The sequence below is a fragment of the Homo sapiens genome, chromosome 6 (genome assembly GCF_000001405.40).
Source record: "Homo sapiens chromosome 6, GRCh38.p14 Primary Assembly".
In the NCBI taxonomy this organism is placed as follows: domain Eukaryota; kingdom Metazoa; phylum Chordata; class Mammalia; order Primates; family Hominidae; genus Homo; species Homo sapiens.
The window spans coordinates 49,656,301-49,682,248 of NC_000006.12; the positions used below are offsets into that span (position 1 = coordinate 49,656,301).

At 35.4% G+C, this 25,948-nt stretch overlaps 1 protein-coding gene across 2 annotated transcripts in view, besides 1 other annotated feature; it reads right to left on the bottom strand.

Annotated features, from left to right (window-relative positions):
- Nucleotides 6,756-7,050: a silencer, noted in NCBI's record as "tiled region #4614; HepG2 Repressive non-DNase unmatched - State 24:Quies". NCBI's record gives its function as "represses a minimal TATA promoter and a strong SV40 promoter by Sharpr-MPRA in HepG2 cells {active_cell/tissue: HepG2}" and the evidence as "EXISTENCE:reporter gene assay evidence [ECO:0000049][PMID:27701403]".
- The window catches only part of CRISP2 (cysteine rich secretory protein 2), a 37,569-nt gene continuing 31,972 nt past the window's right edge, over nucleotides 20,352-25,948 (bottom strand). For both annotated transcript variants that reach the window (XR_926302.4, XM_011514843.4), the window contains exon 12: nucleotides 20,352-20,612. The gene's annotated coding sequence lies outside the window, so the exon portion shown is untranslated. The remainder of the gene's footprint in view (nucleotides 20,613-25,948) is intronic.

The following is a 25,948-nucleotide window of genomic DNA, read 5'->3' on the forward strand; positions in this document are numbered from 1 at the left end:
CGATGTCATATGTGTGCACATATATATTATATATATTTATATATATAATTGTTTCTTAGCTGCTGATAAATTTGTGATCTAAAAATTGTGTCATGTTCATCTTTGCAATTCTTATAAAATATGCACTCAATGAATATTTGCTAAGCTGAATTGAAACAGCTGAAATAACAGTAAACTGGTTGAAAAAGAAATTACTTCCTCTAAAAATTGTAGTTGCCTACACTTCCTGCTTAAATTTAAAAAAATACATCTAGTGGCATACTATTGGAGAGAAGATTTTAAACATCATTCAGATCACAGGCTAATACATTATCTTCTGTTGACAGCACTGAAGACTTGCTCTAAAGAGTCTTCAAATGCTCAACAGCAAAGAGATAGATTATGTATAAAGCAGAATCTTCCTTTATGATCTTTGACATTTTTGAAAAATTAATGACAAGTATACTATCAATGTGTAACTTTCAACTATCAATTTGCTATCAACGTGCAATTTTATCCTCCTTAAGCCCGTATGCCAATGAAGATGAATATCAGTTCTAAATGTGCAGCAGATAGATGGGTATAATTAGAAAAGTTCTGAACTGGAACATTTAGATTTGAGTTTCAGCACCAATACTATCTGGCTGTGTGATATTTTAGAGTCAGCAACCCTGAACTTTAAATTTTTATCTTTCCAATTAAGAGGTTGAATTATTATAATTCTGAAACAAGGTTGTGGTAAAATGTCAAAAACTGGAGACTATCTCTAGCAGGTTATTTTAATTTTAGGAATTATCAAAAAGTCTCAAGAGGACACCCTAAATACTCTCCTCACATTCCTATGATACTATTTCCCTGAATACAGTTAGAACTTTTATTGGGTTAAAATGATAAGCCCTTTACTTTTAGCTGTATAGCAAAATATTTTTACATGCACAATTTTTGGAGGCAACAGCAGGAAATTTATAAACATTTCTCTTTGTTGAACAGTTTTTACCCTCTAGATCAGGAGAAAAGGCAAATATTGTCCAGATTGTATTTTAAACATGTTCATTCTTAACTAAATTTGATAGTGTGGGCATTTGGGAAAGTTCTTTCCAGTATCTCAGTTCTCAAAGGACAAAAATTCTGCCCATGTTCTTTAGAAATAAAACTTTGCAAAGATAGTTTTATTTTTACTTACCAATATGTTATTTTTCACATGGTATTAACCCATTGACAGACAATTTACATAGTAAAATAATTTACACGAAAATATAATGTTTTCTAATTTTAAATGCATAAAAATCACAGGTAACTGTTCAGAAAAGGATTATTATAATTGTCACTTGCACACCCCAACCTTCATATCTTCTTGAGTTAATGTATACCATAACTTGACTGTAAGATTTTTTACCAAAGAGGCCAAACCTATTTGTCGCTAGATAATCTATACAACTCTTCAACATTATTATGACGTAGTATGTGTTCAATAAATATCTATGTGGTAATGATAGTAGAAAAAATGAAATTAATGAGAGATTAGAAAACAAAAAGTCACTATCCAAAATATGTTAGAGTTAAAAAGAAAGTCTATAAAATTTAATAAAGCTAATGATAGAAATTAACAACAAAACTTTAATATTTTTCTTATCTTCATGAATTGCCAAAAAGTACTTTTAGGTGGAAATAACTTTCTGTGCATTTGAGATTTATACAGATTCTATTTCTGTTTCTTTGTTTCTGTCACCACATGAATTATTCACAATATTTCCCAGAATGTCTATTGTCCCACATTGTCTATTGTTTCTGTCTTTATGTTCACATGTACCCAATGTTTAGCTGCCACTTATAAGTGAAAACATGCAGTATTTGGTTTTGTTTCTGTATTAATTTGCCTTAGATAATGGCCTCTAGCTGCACCCATGTTGCTGCAAGGGACATTATTTCATTCTTTTTTTATGTCTGCATAGAATTTTATAGCACGTATGTAACACCATTGATAGACACCTGGGTTGATTCCATGTCTTTGCTATTATGATGAGTGCTGCACTAAACATATGAGTGCAGGTGTCTTTTTGGTAGAACAGTTTATTTTCCTTTAGGTATATACCCAGTAATCCCACATATACAGAATATATACCCAGTAATGGGATTGCTGGCTGGAATGGTAATTCTATTTTTAGTTCTTTGAGAAATCTTAATCTGCTTTCCATAGTGGCTGAACTAATTTGCATTCCCACCAACAATGTATACACTTTTCCTTTTCTCTGCAACCTCACCAACATCTGTTATTTTTAGACTTTTTAAATAAAGATCATTTTGACTGGTGTGAGATGGTTTCTCATCGTAGTTTTGATTTGCATTTCTAGAATGATTAGTAATGTTGAGCATTTTTTCATATACTTGTTGGCTGCTTGTATGTCTTTTTTTGAGAAGTGCCTGTTCATGTTCTTTGTCAATACAAAGACTGTAAAAAAATATCTCTGGGAAGGGTGATACAGCCAACAATTTCCCAACAATTTCTTAGGGACCTAGCAGATGTGGGACTGGAACCCTGAAGCTCCCAGGTAACTGGTTGAGACAAGGCAGATGAGAGAGCCTCTGAAAAGGAGAAGGATTTTTTTTAAGAGATGAGAGAGAGAGAGGATATAAAGTAAACTTTATTAATTTAATTGTTTTACCTACAACTATATCTGATTAGGCATTTGGAAATTTGGACGTTTCTAGAGAATTAAGTCAGCACCAAGGGTCCCGCATCTTTGGGCATTAAATCATACTGTCAGTTCTCATACAATTTCCATGGTTAGTTTCCGTTAGCTATTAAATTTAGAAAATAATATCACTGCTGGGTGCAATGGCTCATGCCTGTAATCCCTACAGTTTGGAAGGCTGAGGTGGTTGTATTGCTTGAGCTCAGGAGTTCAAGACCAGCCTGGGCACCATGGCAAGACCACATCTCTAGAAAAAATACAAAAATTAGCCAGGCGTGGTGGTGCATACCTGTAGTCCCAGGTACTTGGGAGGCTGAGGTGGGAGGATGACTTCAGCCTGGGAGGTGGAGTTTGCAGTGAGCCGAGATAGTGCTACTGGACTCCAGCCTGGGTGACACAGTGAGACCCTGCCTGGAAAAAAAAAAAAAAAGAAGAAGAAGAAAACTACTTATATAATTACTTGATACACAATAATATACATTCAAACATTTACTACAAACATTTAAGAAAGAGCTGCTATTAAAATAGTTATCTAAAAAGAATTATCCTGATACTAAAGCAAAACAAGACACATCAGGAAAACAAAACTACAGAGCAATAGATCTATAAATATTGATGCAAAAATGTGCACAAAATACTGACAAACTAAATTCAGCAGTACAGCCAAAGGATTACACAACATGATCAAGTGGGATTCATTCCTGGACGGCAACAATAGTTCAACATACTAAAACTAATCAGTATAATATGAAACATAAATAAAATGAAGACAAAAGTAAGTATTGTTATTCATTTAAAAAGCATTTGACAAAATTTAATTCCCTTTTATTAAAAAATTTAAAAATCTAGGAATAGAAGGAAACTACTTCAGCATAACAAAGGCTATACATGAAAAGCTTATAGTTAACATCATACTGAGTGATGAGAGACTGAAAGCTTTTTTGCTAACATCAGGAACAAAGCAAAGATGCCCACACTTGCCACTTCTATTCAACATAGTATTGGAAGACCTAATCAGAGAAGTTAGGCAAGAAAAATAAATAAAAAGCATCTAAATTGGAAAGGAAGAATAAAATTATCTCATAAGATGACATGGTCTTACATGTGGAGCACCCTAAAAATAGAACACACACATAATAAAATCTGATAGAACTAACAAATAAATTCAGTAAACTTTCAAAACACGAAATGAACATGCAAAAAAACAATTAAATTTATATACACCAAAAATGAACAATACCAAAAGGAAATTAAGAAAACAATTCCATTTAAATGGTATCAAAAAGAATACTCAGGAATAAACTTAGCCAAGAAGACAAAAGACTGTACACTGAAAACTACAAAAAGATTCTGAAAAAAATTAAAGAAGATGCACATAAGTGGAAAGATATCCACAGGAAACTTCTCCAGGCAGCCTTGAACCAACCCAGTTCTTCCACTATTCTCACTTGTAGTTCTCAAGAATAACTGTAGAATGTACTGGGAATGCAACACACGAATATAGGAGGAAGTGACTGGAAGGCTCTGTTCCAGTCTCCTCTAGACACAGGATGTCCTTCAATGTTTTAGCCTCACAAATTCTATTACCCTTAGAGTGTAAAACCAAAGATGAACTACTCTCCTGGGCCTCTCAGCTGCGGTACAAATGGATTATGTTCTGACAAGATTCCATCTTCCCCCAGGCAGCTTTCCTGAGCCTTGGAGCCTGGGTTGTAATGACTCCCAGGTTTCCGTTGTCCCTTCCTGCCTATTTGTAAGTAATAATAAGCCTGCCTCGTGTAACTTGTTATGTGTATGGGTGTTCTGTCTCACTGGACTCAGACAAGTTGGTAACAAGTGCATAGTGAATTTGCTTCACAATATCAGTATTTATGGATTGGCCAACAATATTTCTGAGATGTCAGTAATACTCAAAGTGATCTATAGATTCAGCGCAATCCCTATCAAAATCTCAATGATGTTTGTGGCAGAAATAGAAAAATTCATCCTAAAATTCATGTAAAATCTCAAGGGACTCTGAATAGTCAAAACAGCCTTCAAAAAGAACAAAGTTGAAGGCATCTCATTTCCTGATTTCAAAACTTACAAAGCTACAATAATCAAAACAACGTGGTACTGGCATCATGACGGACATATAGACCAAAGGAAAAGAATAGAGTTCAGGAATAAGCTCTCACACAGATGAGCAAATGATTTCCAACAAGGGTGCCAAGACCATTTAATGGGATAAGGACAATCTTTCAACAAATGATATTGGGAAAACTGGATACTCATATATGAAATAATGAAGTTGAACCCTTACCCCTGCATAAAATTAAAATGTAACACCATATAAAACAAACTAAATATAAGAGCTAGAATGCTATAAAACTTCAAAGAAAACACGGGAAAAGTTTCATGACATTAGATTTGGCTATAATATATATACATTTTTGGATTACACCAAAAGCACAGGCAGCAACGACAAAAAATAGATAAATTGTATTTCATAAAAATTTTTGTCCATCAAAGAACACTATCAACAGATTTTTTTCCCATGGAATGAGAAAAAATATTTACAACTCATCTCTGATAAAGAATTAATATCTAGAATACATAAAGAACTCTTACAAATCTACAACAAAATCCCAAACAACCCAGTTGAAAAATACACGGGATTTTAGACATTTCTCCAGAGAAGACATACAGATGGCCCATAAGCACATGAAAGATGCTCAACAACACTAATGATTAAGTAAATGCAAATCACAACAACAATGAGATACCACCTCATACCATTTAAGGTAGCTATTATCAAAGCAAAATGAAACAAACAAAAACCCAGAAAATACCAAGTGTGGGTAAGGAAGTGGGAAAATTAGAACACTTACACATTACTGGAGGGAATGTAAAATGGTGTCGCCACTTTGGAAAATAAAAAATTAAAAATGGAATGTTGGTATGTTTAATATGATAGTTCTTCAAAAATTAAACATGAAATTGTAACACGATCCAGCAATCTCACTGTGGGTATATATTCAAAAGAAATAAAAGCAGGAATTAGAACATATATTCGCAAACAAATGTTCCTAGCCGCACTATTTACAAAGTCAAAAAGTGGAAACAACCCAAATATCTATTGATGCCTGAGTGGATAAGCAGATGTGGTATTACATACAATGGAATATTATGTAACTTTAAGAATGAATGACATCCTGACACACTACAACGTGGATGAACTTGGAGGACATTATGCTGAATGAAATAAGCCAGCGCAAAAGGACAATTTTGTATGTATATTATTGCATTTAGATGTGGTATCTGGAGTAGTCAAATCATACAGACAGAAAATGGGTGGTGGCCAGGAGTTGGAGGGAAGGAGGAATGAGGAGTTATTGTTTAATGACTATAGTGTTTCAGTTTGGGGAGTCGAAAAAGTTCTGGAAATGGTTGATGGTGGTGGCTGCATGACAATGCAAATGTACTTGATGCTACTGAACTATACATCTACCAATGATTAAAATGGCAAATTTCATGTTCTATATAATTTACCACAACTTTAAACTCCCCTCCCCTGACAGCAATTTGCTCCATATACCTTCAAAATAGCTGGAGGTATCTTCTGATCACAAGCAGAGGTTAAAATACTCACATAACTCAGCATTTTGTCAATAATTAATTTAGCACATTTTTCTCATAATATTACTGTCTCAGGCTGCAAAATAAATCACCCCCTATCACCTTCTGGACATAGTCTTTGTTAATGACAGCTCTGTTTCTATCACCTGTCAGAGCTTCCATTAATGGCTCCTTTATTTCAAAAGCCCAGATAATCCCATGGAAGCAGGCTGCTGGTGTCACTCCATTCCTTCAGTTTAGAATTTTTTTCTGAAGAAAATAAAAATTTTCAACAAACCACTGTCTCACATTAGGAAAAACTGTCACCAGCAGTGGAGCAAGGGATTGTGAAACTTAAAAAAAAAAAAAAAAGTTTTGCAATCTGAATTCTGCATCAAGATGGCTTTCATAATTAAAAAAAATTCCTGTGGCATTCTAAATTTGATAGTTTTAAGAATCCTGTTGGAATGGTTTTTTATCATTCATCACTCATGTGTGTCATATCATTATGACAACTCATTTAAGAACATGTTTCCATTCCAATAAAAAGAACTGCCTAGTATTGGCTATTTTCTCACTGTGTTTAAGTTTTTATCTTTCTTTAAGTTATTTCCTCCCTTTTGGGAGGAATCCAGCATGTAAACAGAACCAAAGACAAAGAACCACAAGGAAAAAGAAAGCTTCCTTCGCTCCCTCCATCTGTTTTTACTGCCTGCCTGCAATTGTCTTCCTTTAAAAAATAAGATAGGCATAGTTTGCACAGCAAAAGATTACATTTAACTAAATAAAGTGTTTTGGGACATTATGATATTAGAGTTTTTAAAGTGGAGTGGATTATCATTTTTAAAAGTCACATTTTTTCTATATAATTACTGTACTATGCATTTTACTCTACAAATACTATATCAAAACATTCAATGAACTGTTAAGAGAGAAATTATCTTGCTAAGCTCTGAAAATATGAAATGTAGCTTCTTTTAAAATGACATTTAATTTTGTTTTAAAGATGGTACATGACCCATACAAGTGTATTTGTTATTTAAAAAAGTAATAGAAATTATAATGAACTCTTTAAAATGTATCAGCCTCTCTGTAAATATTTTTGGTTTTTTTAAAATTGTACTTTAAGTTCTGGGATACATGTGCAGAATGTGCCATTTTGTTACATAGGTATACACATGCCATGGTGGTTTGCTGCACCCATCAACCTGTCATCTACATTGGGTATTTCTCCTAATGCTATCCCTCCCCTAGCTCCCCAGCACCCGACAGGCCCTGGTGTGTGATGTTCCCCTCCCTGTGTCCATGTGTTCTTATTGTTCAACTCCCACTTATGAGCGAGAACATGCAGTGTTTGGTTTTCTGATGTTGACAAATAGGAATTCTTTTACACTCTTGGTGGGAGTGTAAATTAGTTCAACCATTGTGGAAGACAGTGTGGCAATTTCTCAAGGATCTAGAACCAGAAATACCATTTGACCCAGCAATCCCATTACTAGGTAATACCCAAAGGAGTATTAATCATTCTACTCTAAAGACACATACACAAGTAAGTTTATGGTGGCACTGTTCACAATAGCGAAGACTTGGAACCAACCCAAATGCCCATCAATGATAGACTGAATAAAGAAAATGTGGCACATAGACACCATGGAATACTATTCAGCCATAAAAAATGATGAGTTTATGTCCTTTGCAGGGACATGGATGAAGCTGGAAACTATCATTCTCAGCAAAATATTTTTGGCTTTTTTGGCCTTAAAAACATTATTTTCTCTTTTTCTCCAAGGTTCTTTGTTTAGTTGAGAGACTTGTGTTTGGCCATAAGATTGGCTATAAAATTTTAATTTTAATGTGTACTCCAAAGGAGTATTTTACTATTTATACATTTGAATAGTCAGTTAATGACTTAAATTTTACCCATTGAAAATAAATGTGCCTTTTAATAAATTACCTTCCTAGGAGAGAAAATGAAATAGTGCTTAAAATTAAATATACAATTTGAAGAAAATAGATTTTATATTAATCTCCAAACCTCCATGTGTTACGACCAGGATTATTTAAATAATAAATTTAGGAAGTTTTCAACTAATATCATCCTTTGTTTGATTCTGGTATTAGTGTCCATCATTTATAAGAATGCTATTCATGTTACCTTTATGAATGAAGCAAAAATTCCTTGAGCTCCTCTGGAAAGTTAGCATGAGTTGGCTGTTTTCTGTTTCTGCAACTGTGTATATATAGCATATGGGATTCTTTATTTGAAACTGCTTTTAAAATAAAAATAAAATTAAAATTAACATTGAATTCTTTCCAAAATACTTACTAGGATTTTTTAAAACCACAGTTGATTACATTGGCTCAATTGTAATTGCATCTTTTTTTATTCCAGTGTACAAGAACTTTCTGTTCTCCCGCTGTTTACAATAGTAATGCCATAGGAGCAAAGATTGCAGGTACATCGTGCCTGTTTCTGTTGTCATCACCTATTTGGCTAGGGAATAGGGAGAAATAGTTGATGGTTCTGAAACCTCTCCTGCGACCATGTGAGGTAAAAAGGTATGGCTATGCACATCCTGGGACTAGAAAGAGTTTTATCTTTTCCTAACCTCTTCTATCTCAGGTTGCTATTGGAAATTTTTTTCTTAGAGTATAAACATGGGGCAGACTAATGTGGTAACATACAGAATTGTCTGGGAGACACTTTATTTTAAGAACACTCAAGTAATAGACAACCATTCTGCCCCTTGCTGGACCATCCTGAAGAAAAAAAAATGTCCAAGTAAAAAATCTCCTGCCCTACAAGTGTTAACTTTCCTCTTTTCTTTTCTGAAATCTCTGAGGATGGTGTGAGAATGCTTTCTGATGGGGCTGGTTAGCTGTGAGTTTTAGAATGATACTCAGATGAAGCTAAATTCTATGAGTTCTTGTTACCTTTGACTCTTCCTGTGACACAGGATACATATTCAACACAGTCATCTTATATATGTGTGTTATAGCATTTACACAGGAAGATTATCAGAAAAATTATTCAAAATTTATGTCCCATATGAGGAAGGTGAGTGTGACATTTTTGAACACATATGAATACACAGTCGAAATCCACCGGAGAAAAGCAAATGTCGGTTCGTTTTGTTACTAACCCTTCTTGTCATTTCATGTAAGTAATTTCTCTAATTTGTGCCTCAGTTTTCTCTCCTGACAAATCATGATAATTATATAAGGAGGTAAGCCTTCTTAAGTTAAAACTCTTAAGATATCAATTTGGGAATTTACTGGTTTTGAAAAACTTGGACAAGTTAGAAAACTTTTCAGAGTTTTATAATTTTTTAAGCTGAGAATACTTACATTAATAAAAATAGAAAAATGTGGGAGATGTTCCACTGTTGTGATTGTCACAAAATAAGTTGTCAGTGGATGGTAATTTTCATTATTTTTCCTAGTATGCATTTTTAGTGGTCTCAAGAAAACACATGAGACTATAATATATATTAATCTACTTGGAGAACCAGAATTAATATTGGACTGATGTATCAAAAATGAAAACTGAGAAGTATTTAAATTAATTCATTTATATATGATGTCATGACTACTCCTACTGAAAACAAACAACTAAACCCAAAATTGGTCAGCATAACATTTTTAGCTGTATTAATGTTGAAACAATACAAACAAGAAAACCAAATCATGTGAAAAGGTGAATTAGCTCAGTAACTGAGTGCATATTAGTATGGCTTCATTGTATAGATTCTAAAAATACTAATCATTAGCTGATCACCACCATTTTGAGTGTAAAGATACCTCCTTAATGTTAAAAATATTCACCGACCTATATACAATATGGTAGTTTTAGGATTTATTGATTGAGAAAATACAGAGTAACAAAAAACAAATGAGGGTTCAATTTCAGTTTTCAGTGAGTTTGCATTTTAATTATTCTGTCATAGGAGTATATGCACAAGTTGTATATCCAAGTCTGCCTTCAGTGAAACTGGGGCTCATTGTTGAACATATCTAAATTCTACAATTTAGAGGCAAAATGGGGTGAGAACTGTTTTTGTTATTTTTTGTACAAATGTAAACCTATTTTTTTCCATAGTGCATACAAAGTCATGGAGGGAGATTTGAGATTTAGAATGCAATAAATTATCATTCGTTTCTTCATTAATTCCTTCAAAAACTTCTCCAGTGAGCCTGTGTTATGAGCCAAGGGGGTGGGGATACAACAGTGAATTAAGACAAAGATGCTATCCTCATGCTATTGCCACTTACAGTTTTGTGGGCAAGAAACACAACAAACAAACATTTTATAATATAATTTTGCAAAAATAGTGACAGAAGGGTAAGGGGCAAGAGAGTGAGAGGGGTGTGTGAGTGTGTGTGTGTGTATGTGTGTTTATGTATGTGCCTGTGAGAGAGAGAATGTAACAAGGAAAGTCTGAGGAGATAATTAACATTTGAGGAGGCTAACATTTACATATTTGGGGAAAGGTATTTCTGGCAGTGGAAATAACATGTCCTAAAACAGTAAAGAAATTGTCATGTTAGAGCAACATAAAGAGGACAAACTAGGCTACAGGAGGGTAACCAAGGAAGGGTGATAGGAAGTGAGGTCAGAGATTTAGGTGGGGTTTCATCATCGAGGGCCTTGCAGGGCATGACTGCTATCAGACAAGTTTGCCTCAGAGGTAAAAGCAGTTATGACAACTCTTGAAAAATAAGATTTTTCCTGCCTAATCTTTTCCCACAAGTTTGCAAAAATTAATACAGCTTTCTAACTTCTGAATTCACATTTATATCTAGGAAACTAAGTGTTATTCTTTTTTTCACGTGCAGTTAGAGAAATGATCTCTTCCTGTTTTTGACTGCCCCTCAGAACTTTTTATTAATAATTCTGTATTAGTAGTGGGCAGGGGAAATAGCTTCCTATTTTATAAAACTCAGACTTCTGGGGCACTTGAAACCGGAGTTTATCTTTAATTTACTTTTGGTTCCGGTTTCTAGAACCTCAAATTTCTTGTTAGTATGGGGTCTTTTCTTCCACAATCAGAGAAAAAATTAATTAAATGTGGGTATTGAGTCATCGTTGTTTATGAAGAATGGAATTATATCTGGGTGAGATGGAAGGGTAGATGTTTAGATTATGACTTTTGTGTAGTTTGAATTTTTACAAAAAACCTGAATTCTTTTCCATTTAGAAAAAGAGAAACTTGTAGTTCCTTATCATTTCAACATTTTTCCTTCTCCTCTCTATAGGCTCACTTTATCTACTTCTGTGATTTTAATGTAAAAACCTAAATTTCCTGTTCTGCCATTTCTTTTGAGGCCCAGAGTCTTTTGTCTAATTAACTACTGAATATTCTGCAGACAGTTAAAACCCAGGGTATCTAAAATCAGTCACCAATTTTCTGTCCCAGACCTGCTTCTGCTCCATATTCCCAGTCATAGCTGATGGCATCCCATTCCACCTGTTCTCCCAAGTTAGAATTCTGAATCATCTTTGCTCTTTTTTCTTTCTCCCTCATCCTCAGGTCACAGTACATTGTTCTACTGTAAGGTTATTTCCCAAATAGCACCTTGTCTCCTTTCCCATTTACTACTGCCTCTTACCTAAACTTGTGCAATAGCCTCCTGTTAGTTTCTTCAAATCTGTTCATCTCCCATTCTTCTTAATGGTGTGCTTATAAAAATACAGTATGTAAATGACTTTCACTTGTTCCCAATGGTCTATAAGATATTCAAAAATTACTCAGCATGCCATGCAAGTCTATTTACAGTCTTTTAAGTTTGATATCTGGCCTCATAATCTAGGGTCTGGCTGCAACAAAATACTTGTCATTCTTCAAATATTTGCTCAGGCTTTTCCCTCCTATGGTAATGTTACCTTCACTCTCTAAGACACACATAGATCTTTCATTTCCTGGTAAATAAGCTGCCTCACACCGTTCAATATTAAATGTGGTTTTCTTTGTGAGTTCTTGCTGTTCTCATGGTTGCCCCTTTCTATATTTCTAAGAATTCTCTCTTCTCTGTCCCTTTCCCTATCTCACATTTTGTTATTATTAGCTGAAAATATGTCCATCTCTTTTATAATACAGGAACAGTCTAAGAGCAGGAGCTATTAATATGTCTATCTCATTTATCTTCATGTCTACAGAACACACCACAGTGTCTGTCTTATAGTATGGGTTCAATTAATGTTTAGTGACATTAAAAAAGGAGGAGGAAAAGAAGAAGAAAAATGCAAATAAACCCGGGAGAGAACACAGTGTCTAAAATGTTACTGTGAGTATTTTTGGATCCTTTATTGAGAATATTAGGTTACATAGTAAAGAAATGTTGTGTTTGGTCTCTTACAACACAAAAGCCCTAGTAGTCAAATACCAGAGAGAAAGGTTTTTATACACAGTTGAAAAAAGGGCACAGAGAATATTGGTTTGAAAAGTTGTATGTAAACAGCTCCTTCTTCATCATATTGCCCAGTGATGATTATTACTTCAAAGGTTGGTCTGGATAATATTGCTTGAAATCAGTTGTGTTCACCTTAGCACATGATCAGAACAGCCTGTGATTATTACGTTAATTCTGAAACCCAAACCCCTCTGTTTAAGTGTGAAGAAACTGAGACACAGAGGAGTTGTGAGGCATGTCTGCTTTTATTATTATGGATATAATTTGATTCTGTGCAAAGCCTAGAGACTTCCAACCCCCATCATCTTTTATAGCTCCTTTTAGAGAAGATTGTAAATTCTTAAACCCCTAACATAGGACATACACCAATAAATTTAACACAATTGGTTTCATGGGTTAAATTTCCCTCAATTGGGATACTAAGTTGTACAACTAACTTGAACTAAATCAAGATCTGCAATCTTTTATGAATGCTCCATGTGTCCTATTCTTTAATTTTTTTATGAATGCTCCATGTGTCCTATTCTTTAATTTTTTTTGAATGCTCCATGTGTCCTATTCTTTAATTTTCCTCTAGTCCTCTCCATCATGAAATAACAATTCCTTAGTTCTAGTTGTTTGGTTCAAAACTCTTAAATGTAACCTTGATTTTTCTTTTTTGTCTTACATTCTACGTCAGATCCATCTGCAAATCCTGATAAGCATCCATTCAAGACATATTCAGAATCTCACACTTTCTAGTTACTGCACAGCAACTACTTTCTCCTAGGTACTTTCATCTCTTGTCTATAATATTTACCATATTTTCTTGTCTCCTTACTTCGGCTCTTGCCTGAACATAGCCCAATCTTATAGTACTAGAATAATCCTATGAAAACATCAATTGTATTATGTCATTTCTCTGTTTAAACCCTCCAATGGCTTCCATTTCACTGTGAAACCAAGCCAAAGTCCTTACGGATGGCCCTCAATGTTTTACATGATTTGCCTTCCTCCCTCTAGTTCTCTAATCTCCCACTATTTTCCACCTTACTTACTGTATTCTGGCCACACCAGCCTCCTTGCTTCTTTGAATTGTGGGCACTCGTCTATCTGAGTATTTTAGCCCTTGCTGTTCTTTCCCTGGAGCATTCCTCCAAGGAATTCCACATGGTTCATTGCTTTATCCCCCTTCAGACTTTTCTTCAAATGTTATCTTTGCAGTGAGGACTTCCCAGGATATCCTGATACTGTAACTTCCTCTCAGACCACAGGTATCCCCTATCTCCCTTACCTGTTCAATTTTTCTCCTTGGGGCTTATTACCATGAATCACATATTTTCCTAATTTATCCTCTTAATTGTCTATCTCCCTCAAACTCCAAAGATGAGAACCACAAGGACAAGGATTTATGTATGTTTTGTTCACTTATAAATTCTTAACATTGGTAACAGTGTTTAACACGTAGCAAATACTAAAAAAGTGGCTGAGGGAAATAATGAAGGGTTCAAAGCAAAATACATAAAAAACTGCAACAAAAACTTTTTGTGTGTCAAAACCTTTCAAAAAATCAATGAATCCAGGAGTTGGTCTTTTGAAAAGATCAACAAAATAGGCCTCTAGCAGGACTAATAAAGAAAAGAGAGAAGAATCAAATAGATGCGGTAAAAAATCATAAAGGGGATATCACCACCGATCCCACAGAAATACAAACTACCATCAGAGAATACTATAAACACTTCTATGCAAATAAACTAGAAAATATAGAAGAAATGGATAAATTCCTGGACACATACACCCTCCCAAGACTAAACAAGGAAGAAGTTGAATCTCTGAATAGACCAATAACAGGCTCTGAAATTGAGGCAATAATTAATAGACTACCAACCAAGAAAAGTCCAGGACCAGATGGATTCAAGGCCAAATTCTACCAGAGGTACAAAGAGGAGCTGGTACCATTCCTTTTGAAACTATTTCAATCAATAGAAAAAGAGAGAATCCTCCCTAACTCATTTTATGAGGCTAGCATCATCCTGATACCAAAGCCTGGTAGAGATACACCAAAAAAGAGAATTTTAGGCCAATATCCCTGATGAACATCGATACCAAAATCCTAAAAAAAATACTGGCAAACCGAATCCAGCAGCACATTAAAAAGCTTATCCACCAAGATCAAATTGGCTTCATCCCTGGGATGCAAGGCAGGTTCAACATACTCAAATCAATAAACGTAATCCAGCATGTAAACAGAACCAAAGACAAAAACCACATGATTATCTCAATAGATGCAGAAAAGGCCTTCGACAAAATTCAACAGCTTTTCATGCTAAAAACTCTCAATAAACTAGATATTGATGGGACATATCTCAAAATAATAAGAGCTATTTGTGACAAACCCACAGCCAATATCATACTGAATGGGCAAAAACTGGAAGCATTCCCTTTGAAAACCAGCACAACACAAGTATGCCCTCTCTCACCACCTGTATTCAACATAGTGTTGGAAGTTCTGGCTACGGCAATCAGGCAAGATAATGAAATAAAGGGTATCCAATTAGTAAAAGAGGAAGTCGAATTGTCCCTGTTTGCAGATGGCATGATTGTATATTTAGAAAACCCCATTGTCTCAGCCTAAAATCTCCTTAAGCTGATAAGCAACTTCAGCAAAGTCTCAGGACACAAAATCAATGTGCAAAAATCAAAAACATTCCTATACATCAATAACAGACAAACAGAGAGCCAAATCATGAGTGAAATCTCTTTCACAGTTACTACAAAGAGAATAAAATACCTAGGAATCCAACTTACAAGGGACGTGAAGGACCTCTTCAAGAACTACAAACCACTGTTTGATGAAATAAAAGAGGACACAAACAAATGGAAGAACATTCCATGCTCATGGATAGGAAGACTCAATATTGTGAAAATAGCCATACTGCCCAAAGTAATTTATAGATTCAAGGCTATCCCTATCAAGCTACCACTGACTTTCTTTACAGAATTGGAAAAAACTACTTTAAAGTTCATACGGAACCAAAAAAGAGCCCACATAGACAAGACAGTCCTAAGCCAAAAGAACAAAGCTGAAGGCATCATGCTATGTGACTTTAAACTATACTACAAGGCTACAGTAACCAAAACAGCATGGTACTGGTACCAAAACAAATATATAGAACCATGGAACAGAACAGAGCCCTCAGAAATAACACCACACACCTACAACCATCTGGGCTTTGAGAAACCTGAGAAAAACAAGCACTGGGGAAAGGATTCTCTATTTAATAAATGGTGTTGGGAAAACTGGCTAGCTATATGTAGGAAGCTAAAACTGGATCCCTTTCTTACACCTTATACAAAAATTAACTCAAGATGGATTAAAGACTTAAATGTAAGACCTAACACCATAAAAACCCAAGAAGAAAACTTAAACAATACCATTCAGGACATAGGCATGGGCAAAGACGTCATAACTAAAACACCAAAAGCAATGGCAACAAAAGCCAAAATAGACAAATGGGATCTAATTAAACTAAAGAGCTTCTGCACAGCAAAAGAAACTATCATCAGAATGAACAGGCTACCTACAGAATGGGAGAAAATTTTTGCAATCTACCCATCTGACAAAGGGCTAATATCCAGAATCTACAAAGAATTCAAACAAATTTACAAGAAACAAACAACCCCATCAAAAAGTGGGAAAAGTATATGAACAGACACTTTTCAAAAGAAGATATTTATGCAGCCAACAGACATATGCAAAAATGCTCATCAATACTGGTCATCAGAGAAATGTAAATCAAAACCACAATGAGATACCATCTCACACGAGTTAGAATGGTGATCATTAAAAAGTCAGGAAACAACAGATGCTGGAGAGGATGTGGAGAAATAGGAACACTTTTACACTGTTGGTGGGACTGTAAACTAGTTCAACCGTTGTGGAAGATGGTGTGGCGATTCCTCAAGGATCTAGAACTAGAAATGTCATTAGACCCAGCAATCCCATTACTGGGTATATACCCAAAGGATTATAAATCGTTCTACGATAAAAACACATGCACATGTATGTTTATTGTGGCACTGTTCACAGTAGCAAAGACTTGGAACCAACCCAAATGTCCATCACTGATAGACTGGATTAATAAAATGTGGCACATATACACCATGGAATACTATGCAGCCATATAAAAGGATGAGTTCATGTCCTTTGCAGGGACATGGATGAAGCTTGAAATCATCATTCTCAGAAAACTCTCACAAGGACAGAAAACCAAACACCGCATGTTCTCACTCATAGGTGGGAGTTGAACAATGGGAACACATGGATACAGGGAGGGGAACATCCCACACCAGGGCCAGTCAGAGGGTGCGGGTCTGGTGGAGGGATAGCATTAGGAGAAATACCTAATGTAAATGATGAGTTGATGGGTGCAGCAAATCAACATGACACACGTATACCTATGTAACAAACCTGCATGTTGTGCACATGTACTCTAGAACTTAAAGTATAATAAAAGAAAAAAAAAACTTTTTGTGTGTGTTGGCTTTGCTTGCATATACAACTTCTGTTGAAAACACCCTACCTTGGATCACCAAAGTGTCCCCTTAACGACTTGAAATCATTAGGTGTTATATTAAATATAGGCCGACATCTTAGAACATAATAATAATGTAAGAGTGAATATGTTTAAAATGTAATGCAATTACTAAAAATATAATTTTAAAAAATGGAAGGGTCACATGTTCATGGATGGCCTAGTTTATTAATGCTAGACCATTATTTGTAAGAGCTGTGACTACATGTAATAATTAGTCTCATAGAAGAAAGAAGCCCATTGCTTCTTGGCTCCCATGGCGCCATGGTTGTGTTTTCTAGGAAGTCTGAGGCAGCAGGATACTGAACCCCATGCCTGTCCTGTTAGATCAGTTAACATGGATCGGTGACCTTTCTTTTTGTCCTTTAACTAGACAGGGACACCTCAGTTTCTCAGAATCAGTAGAATGTTGAACATACTCACTAACCCATCTGGTTCTCTGCCATCAGTCTTGTGCCCTGTCTAAAGTGTTGAAAGGCTATATTGCTTCACCCTTGAGTTAAAGATCTTATTTTTTTTGAAGTCTGGCCTAGGGAGGCTGGGAGATGACATTAAATCTGTTTTATTCATTCCATGCTGCTGTGTAAAAATCCACTCACTGAAAAGATAAATATCTTGCTCTTTGTTTCATGTTTAAAATTACAGGTTTTTAAATAAGATTATAACATAATGTTCAGGTAAATCTAATATATGGAGGAAGACAGAATCAACAGGACCACAGAGAAGATAATCTGGTGACTTGATGATATTGAAAAGTTTTGGCTCCAACAGTGTGCCCACTTTGGGACTTTTTAGTCGTACGAAGTCAGAAAAAGCTCCTGGTTTGTTTAAGTCATTTGGAATTAAGTTTTCTGATTTTTATAACAAGAGAGCATTAATATATCTATGTAGTTAATTGGGAGCTTACATAAAAGATGATATTTTGAAATTGTACACTCTGATGAGTAAGATTAAAATTCACATTTATAGACTATCTATTACAGATCTTGGATTTGGCATGCATGTATTAAAAGCAAGTTATGTTCTAGGTGTTGGTGACATCAAGAGGAAAATAAAACATCATATCACTCCTTTGAGAGATAAAGCAGAAAAGCCTGGAGTACTACAGCAAGAAGAAACTACTTATTCTTACTATGCCATCTGATAGGGACTCTGATATGGTTTTGTTCTGTGCTCCCACCCAAATCTCATCTAGAATTGTAATCCCATTGTGTTGAGGGAGGAACCTGTAATTCCCATGTGTCGAGGAAGGGAAGTGATTGGATTATGACGCAGTTTCCCCCTTGCTGTTTACATGATAGTGGGTGAATTATCACAAGATCTGATGATTTAATAAATGGTAGTTTTTCCTGCATGCTCACACTCTCTACTGGCACTTTGTGAAGAAGGTGCCTGCCTCCCATTCTGCAATGATTGTAAGTTTTCTGAGCCCTTTCCAGTCATGAGGAACTTTGAGTCAATTAAATCTCTTTTCTTTATAAACTATCCAGTCTTGGTTACTTCTTTATAAAAGTGTGAGAAAGGATTAATACAGACTCCCAAATTGTTGCATTGGGAACTATTGGGAAGGGGAAAAGGTTGGGAATAGAGTTTATAACCAATTTATGAAAGATCATAATATTTCCAGTTAAATGCTGTATTCTATAGGAAAGATAATGTTTTGGAGGATTTTTAAGCAGAAAAGAAACACTTAATAAGTTATGACCCAGGAAGAATAGTTTGGTAGCAGTGTACATGATGAATTGAATTGGTGGAGATAAGACATTCATAATTAGTAGACAGGGAATACAGTTTAATGAGATTTGCAGATGGCTCTCAGATTCTTACAAATCCAATCTTTTCCCTTGTTTCAAGAATTTGTAATAGGTCATGGTTTTCAAGTATTTTCTCTTAAGTCATATTTTATTAAAAACTCCCATATATAATCATACTTTAGAAAATAATATCTTCATGTAGTCTAAGCAAAATAATAATGATGTCTAATGTTTGCATGTTTACCATCACAAAATATTCAGAAATATAATGTTGTGACATTACAAGATTCTGAAGTAATGGGGCAGGAATTTTTATTTTCTCACTTAGAAAACTACGACTCAGAGAGTTAAGTGATTATATTATATGATGTGTGAATTCACATAATGGAAGCAGATGTAGATTGTTATTCTCTAGAGCTTTTTGTTTATTCATATGGTGTCACAGGAGGCAGAACTGGACTAGTGCCTACTTTTTTCCACCAAACAAAACAAAATTAATTTAGTTTTTCACCTACTTTGTCACCTTGATTTAGTGACCTGAATGTATACAAAACCAAAGTCTTTTTCTCTACTTTTTTTTTTTTTTTTTTTTTTTGAGACAGGGTCTTGCTCTATTACCCAGGCTAGTGTGTAGTGGCATGATCTTGGCTCACTGCAGCCTTGACTTTCCAGGCTTAAGTGATAATCCCATCTCAGCCTCCTGAGTAGCTGGGGCTACAGCTGTCCACCATCATGCCTGGCTAATTTTATTATTATTATTGTTCTTAGTAGAGATGAGGTCTCACTATGTTACCCGGACTGGCCTCAAAATCATGGGCTCAAGTGATCCTCCCACTTTGGCCTTCCAAACTGCTGGCTCTGCCCTGTTAACCTTGACTTTAAGATTATTTGTTATCCCTGACAGCTGCAGTTCAATAAAAAATTTGGCAAGTCAGCACCCTAACTCATCACTTCAAGTTGCCAATAAAGATGATAAACTGAATTTGCATCCTTATTAGTAATGATCACCTCCAGTAAATGGAGATCTTCATTTTGGAAGATAACATAAAATCTATCCACATTGTTTTAATATATTGAGACTAGTATCTTCTATAAAGTCTAATCAGCATTTACAAGACATATTAGTGTCAATATATATTCAATATATTTTTAAATGAAAGACTATATTGTGTTTGCCAGAGCTAGGCATAATCTGCTGGTTATCCAGTCTGTGTACAATCATAAATATAAATTTTGTATATCAATGTCCACAGTTGCCTTTTAATTTCTGTGTTTGTGTTACAGGACTGCCAGGTTTGTATGCTCATTGTGCAGCAATGGACCAATACACTGAGGCAGCAGGGTTTACAGCCGAGAATGAGTTTAATAATCACAAGGCCTTTGAACTAGGAAATGAGAGGAAATCTCAAGCCACAAATTTGCTCCATGAAGGGGTCCTTTAAGGAGACTGTGGAGGATGAGAAGCTGAAAAATTTGGATTGTTGATTGGTCAGGGTAAGGGGGATGTAATCATCAGGATGTTGAAACTGCATTCCTCCATGAGTCAGTTTCTTGCTAGGTCGTTCAGAGCAGCTGGCATCACTAGTTTTGTTGGTATGTGGAACCTAAAGAATAAATTCAAAAGCAAAGATTATCATCTCACAATGCCTTAGATTTTATCTATGGAACAGAAAAGGAACAAAAAGTCTTGTGACAAGGGCTACCTTATACTGGGGTAGTAAGCAGTGACCAGTTACAAGGAAGAGGACGAAAGGGCAAGCTGGCTTAATGATTAGTGCTGATTGTGCTGCCAGCTTAGGTGAGCTTTATTGTTTTCCTTAATCAACTTTGGCAGCACCACTGGTGTAGTGGTAATCATGCAAGAGTCTCTTAATCAATTTTATAAAGTTATCTTGGCGATGGTTTCATTCTTGTTGATCAAATGTATTGTGATACGTTCTTTCCATTAAGTTTTTAGATATTTTTACTTTGTCTTTCAAATTTACATGCCCCAAGCATTTAGGATATCAACTTACCATATTGAAATAAAAAACACTGTATTAACGAGAGAGTGAGAACATGGCATTCAACTAAACTTTTATGATTCCTTGTATTTATTATGTTTCAAAGGGAAGTTGGCTCTTATTCCTTCCTCCCATAGAGTTGATGTTTCTTGTTTACCAAAGGAGCACGGATGACAACTATTCTCTTCTTTGTTTTTGGTAGATTGAAGGGCAGGTAGTGTTCTTTCACATACACTTACAGCAGGAAATACATTAAGGATTTCTTTGGCAATATGAGTAGCTTCTTATAATGTCCATCTCACAAAATACAGTCCTGTGGGAATTATTGTTTTCATTCCTTATTTCCTTATGTATCTATTCATTAAATTATTACTCAATAGCTAACGTCAAGTGGAGTACTGGGTGCAGGATACTAAACAGAGGACTAGCTAAACACACAGCAAGCTTAATAATGAATAAACATACACTTAAGGAAGTCTAGGGAAAGCCTGAAAGACAATTTTTTAAAGGACTGGAACTTTATAAGGAAATAGGTAATGAAGGCAAATATAATTATAGTGGATACATAAGAAATAATGGTATTCAATTGTAAATTCTTGATATGATCACTGATACTGGAGTTAGAGAAACTGGGTTTAGGATCAATGTTAGACTTGCAACTCCTACTAAAGATCTCTGCAACCTCCTCTGCTGGAGTTCCAGTGTTTCTGTCTCTCAGAGTGAAGGGCCATGGAACCTCAGAAGGACTTCTGAGCTCTGAGATAACATACTTGCAGGGTGAGTACATCCAAAGAACTGCATTCAGAATTATAAAACAAAAATAATATCTAAAATAGAATACTAGAAAGGTGTTCAGAAACAATTCAACACAACAAGTATACCCTGAACATCAGTATGGATCTACAGGGTGCTAAGCGCTTTAGCGGGCACTAGAGAAAAATCATCTATTACTCCAAATAGCTTATATAAACTGATTGGGTTGATGAGGCATGCACAGTTCACATGAGCAGTGTTGTGTCCCCATTTCAGCATGGGTCCACATTCCAAGAAATGCCATTCTAACTCTAGAGGCTTAAATAAACTCCAATTGCTTTTCTACAGTGTATGGTTTTTCTATAAAACTTGGGAGAAAAAATTTCCATCTTATTACACTTTCCCAGACGAATCTGTACAATGGAGACAAAAGAAAGTTATTTATAACCAGTGCAACTTGCTGTCTCATCTCTTAACTAGTTCCCCCCGACTCCCTGGCTTTCTGTTTCTCCGGTGGGATTGGGATATTTGTAATTGCAGAGAGTGTAAATGTGATAGCATCGGGATTTAAATTGAAGGAGGTAAAGAGCATCTCTAGCCTGATGCACTCATGTGTTTTACCATTAGAACTAGTCTTTGCCCACACGCTTCTGATCACTGTACACTAAGCAGGAGCAGCATCAAGTTGATACTGTCTCATTTGAATTCCTCCTACAAAGGTCTTTCACCTGAAAAAGAGGTTAGGTGGCCACTTAATATTCCACAGTGCCAAAAACAAAGCAAGCATAAGAATGTCCCTGACTCCTCAAAATGATCGTAGCTACTTATGTCTGTTGTATGCCACAGAATTGGTGTCCCAGTTGGCTCTGTGGGATGTCCTAATGAATGGGACAATTTTAATACACTTTGCCTCCCTATCACTATACTTCAGACACCAGTTCAAGTATTCTGTTAACATTTAATATCAGAATAAAATATAATGTTCTGCTTATGTTCTGCACAATGCACTTTAGAATGAGACTTTTATTGAGTGAACATTTTCCTATAAAGGCAATTTAGATTTGCATGAACACATTGGTAGTCTTATCATACTGTTGTCATAAGTCATTTTTGCACTTAAAAAAGCTCTAAGTCTTTGTCATATGAGATACTTATGCACCAAGTATTGCTCAACTTGTTCTTTTACAATTGATTTTTAACCTAAATTCCATCTTAGTTACTACTGCATTCTAGCTTTTGATGTTTGCCACCCTTGAGTCTGTCAGTTAAGGTACAGTATTAGCCACCTGTTCAAGATTAGGATGATTCTGTTCACCTTTAAGGACTCCTCTTTTTATCATGACAAGTTATTTAGAAAGCTAAGCAATGTGATAAAAATGTTGTTTTTTGAACTTAAAATGAGAGCAAAGGGAAATGGTTTTGAGAGGAATTTTATTCAGCTCACAATAAGGTTAATGGAAGAGTCCTGTCCTGGGTGGAATATTCTCCCCTAATGACTGCACTGGAGTCTGTCAAATTTGGTGTCTGCCTTCCATATTCCATGCCTTAGGTCAGTCAATCACAAATTTTCATAGTTAGAACACACATTGCTGAATCTTACCCCAGTTTCTGATTCAGTGTTGTTGTTTTTTTTTGACATTTATTTATTTATTTATTTTTGAGACGGAGTATTACTCTATCACCTAGACTGGAATGCAGTGGCACGATCTTGGCTCACTGCAACCTCTGCCTGCTGGGTTCAAGGGATTCTTGTGCCTCAGCCTCCCAAGTAGCTGGAATTACAGGCATGTGCCACCATGCCCAGCTCATTTTTGTATTTTTAGTAGAGACAGGTTTTCACGATGTTGGTCAGGTTGGTCTCGAACTCCTGACCTCAGGTGATCCACCAGCTGTGGCCTTCCAAAGTGCTGGGATTACAGGTGTGAGCCACTGCACCCAGCCGACTTTTATTTTAAATTAAGGGTATATGTGCAGGTTTGTTACATAGGTAAAGTTGTATCATAGCAGTTTGTTGTACAGATTATTTCATCACCCAGGTATTAGGCCTAGTATCCATCAGTTATTTTTCCTGATCCTCTCCCTCCTGCATCCTCCACCCTCTGATAAGTTCCAGTGTGTGTTGTTCCCCTGTATGTGTCCATGAGTTCTCATCATTTAGCTCCCACTTATAAGTGAGAATATGTGGTGTTTGGTTTTCTGTTTCTGTGTTAGTTTCCTAATGATAATGGCCTCCAGCTCTATCCATGTTCCTGCATAGGACATGATCTCATTCTTTTTTATGGCTGCATAATATTCTATGGTGTATATGTACCACATTTTCTTTTTTCCAGTCTATCATTGATGGGCATTTAGGTTGATTCCATGTCTTTGCTATTGTGAATAGTGCTGCAATTAACATATATGTGCACGTGTCTTTATGATAGAACAACTCATATTCCTTTGGGTATATACCCAGTAATGGGATTGCTGAGTTGAATGGTATTTATGACTTTAGGTCTTTGAGGAATTGCCACACTGTCATCTACAATGGCTGAACTAATTTACACTCTCACCAACAGTGTATAAGCATTCCTTTTCTCCACAACCTTGCCAACATCTGTTATTTTTTGACTTTTTAATAACAGCTATTCTGACTGGTGTGAGACGGTCTCTCATTGTGGTTTTGATTTGCATTTCTCTAATGATCCGTGATGTTGAACTTTTTTGGTATGATTGTTGGTTGCATGAATGTCTTCTTTTGAAAAGTGTCTGTTCATATCCTTTTCCCACTTTTTAATGAGGTTTTATTTTTTCTTGTAAATTTAAGTTTCCTGTAGATGCTAGATATTAGACCTTTGTCAGATGCATAGTTTGCAAAAATTGTCACCCATTATGTAGGTTGTCTGTTTAATTGTTGATAATTTCTTATGCTGTACAGAAACTCTTTAGTTTAATCAGATCCCATTTGTTAATTTATGTTTTTGTTGCAATTGCTTTTGGCATCTTCATTATGAAATCTTTGCCCATGCCTATGCCCTAAATGGTATTTCCTAAGTTGTCTTCCAGAGTTTTTATAGTTTTGGGTTTTACATTTAAGTGTTTAATCCATCTTGAGTTAATTTTTATATATGGTCTAATGAAGGGGTCCAGTTTTAATCTTCTACATGTGGTTAGTCAGTTACCCCAGCACCATTTATTGAATAGGGAGTCCTTTCCCCATTGCTTGTTTTTGTCAGATTTCTCAGAGATCAGATAGTTGTAGGTGTGCTGTCTTAATTCTGGGTTCTCTATTCTGTTCCACTGGTCTGTTTATCTGTTTTTGTACTTACCAGTATCATGCTGTTTTGGTTACTAAGCCCTGTAGTAATTTTTCAACTAGATTAAGCATTTTTTCAACTAGATTAAGATATCCATAATAATATTAGTATATAGACCCACATTTGAACAAAGTACTTAATGAATTCTGCTGAAACTTTAGATTAAATGTGGGCAATAACATATAGATTTATAAAACAGAATCAATTTTGATTTATATTTATAAACTATCAAAAAGAAACAAATTTAGTGTAGCAAATTTAAAAATTATATTTTACTGTTTTACATATAATATCATGGTTTAAAAATGATGAAATCACTTTAAATTGGAGGAATTTCTCATAGATTAATGCCAAAGTTTTCTTTTATTTTTTTCCCAGGCTGGCCTCAAACTACTGAGTTCAAGCAATCCTCCTATCTCAGCCTCCTAAGTAGCTTGGATTCCAAGTGCACACCACCATGCCCAGCTTCAAGATTTTTTTTTGCCCTTTCCATTTGTCATATGTTAATCAATATGTTGCTTTCCTCCTTGTCATTATTCCTTGTTAACTGACAGTGATCTCATGATCACCTTGAAATGTTTTTTAATATCCCCCAAGCATTTAAATAATTATTTACTATGTCCTCACAGGTTAGATCATTCTTTTTCTCCTTCAGATAATTGTGCCAGGCTGTAGAGTTTAAAGATCCATCTCCGTGAAATAAAGTAATAAAAAATAAAAGTTAAATAATCATCTGTCTCTCTGGCATCTATACTATACTATTTCATCCTTTCCTCATCTTCTTGTTTTTGACACTTTTGGTGGACCTTTGCTCTTATTTTCACAAACTTTTTTAAATTCTGGGATTTAGCATATTGTTTCACTTACTTCCCAGGAATCTCAGGTGGT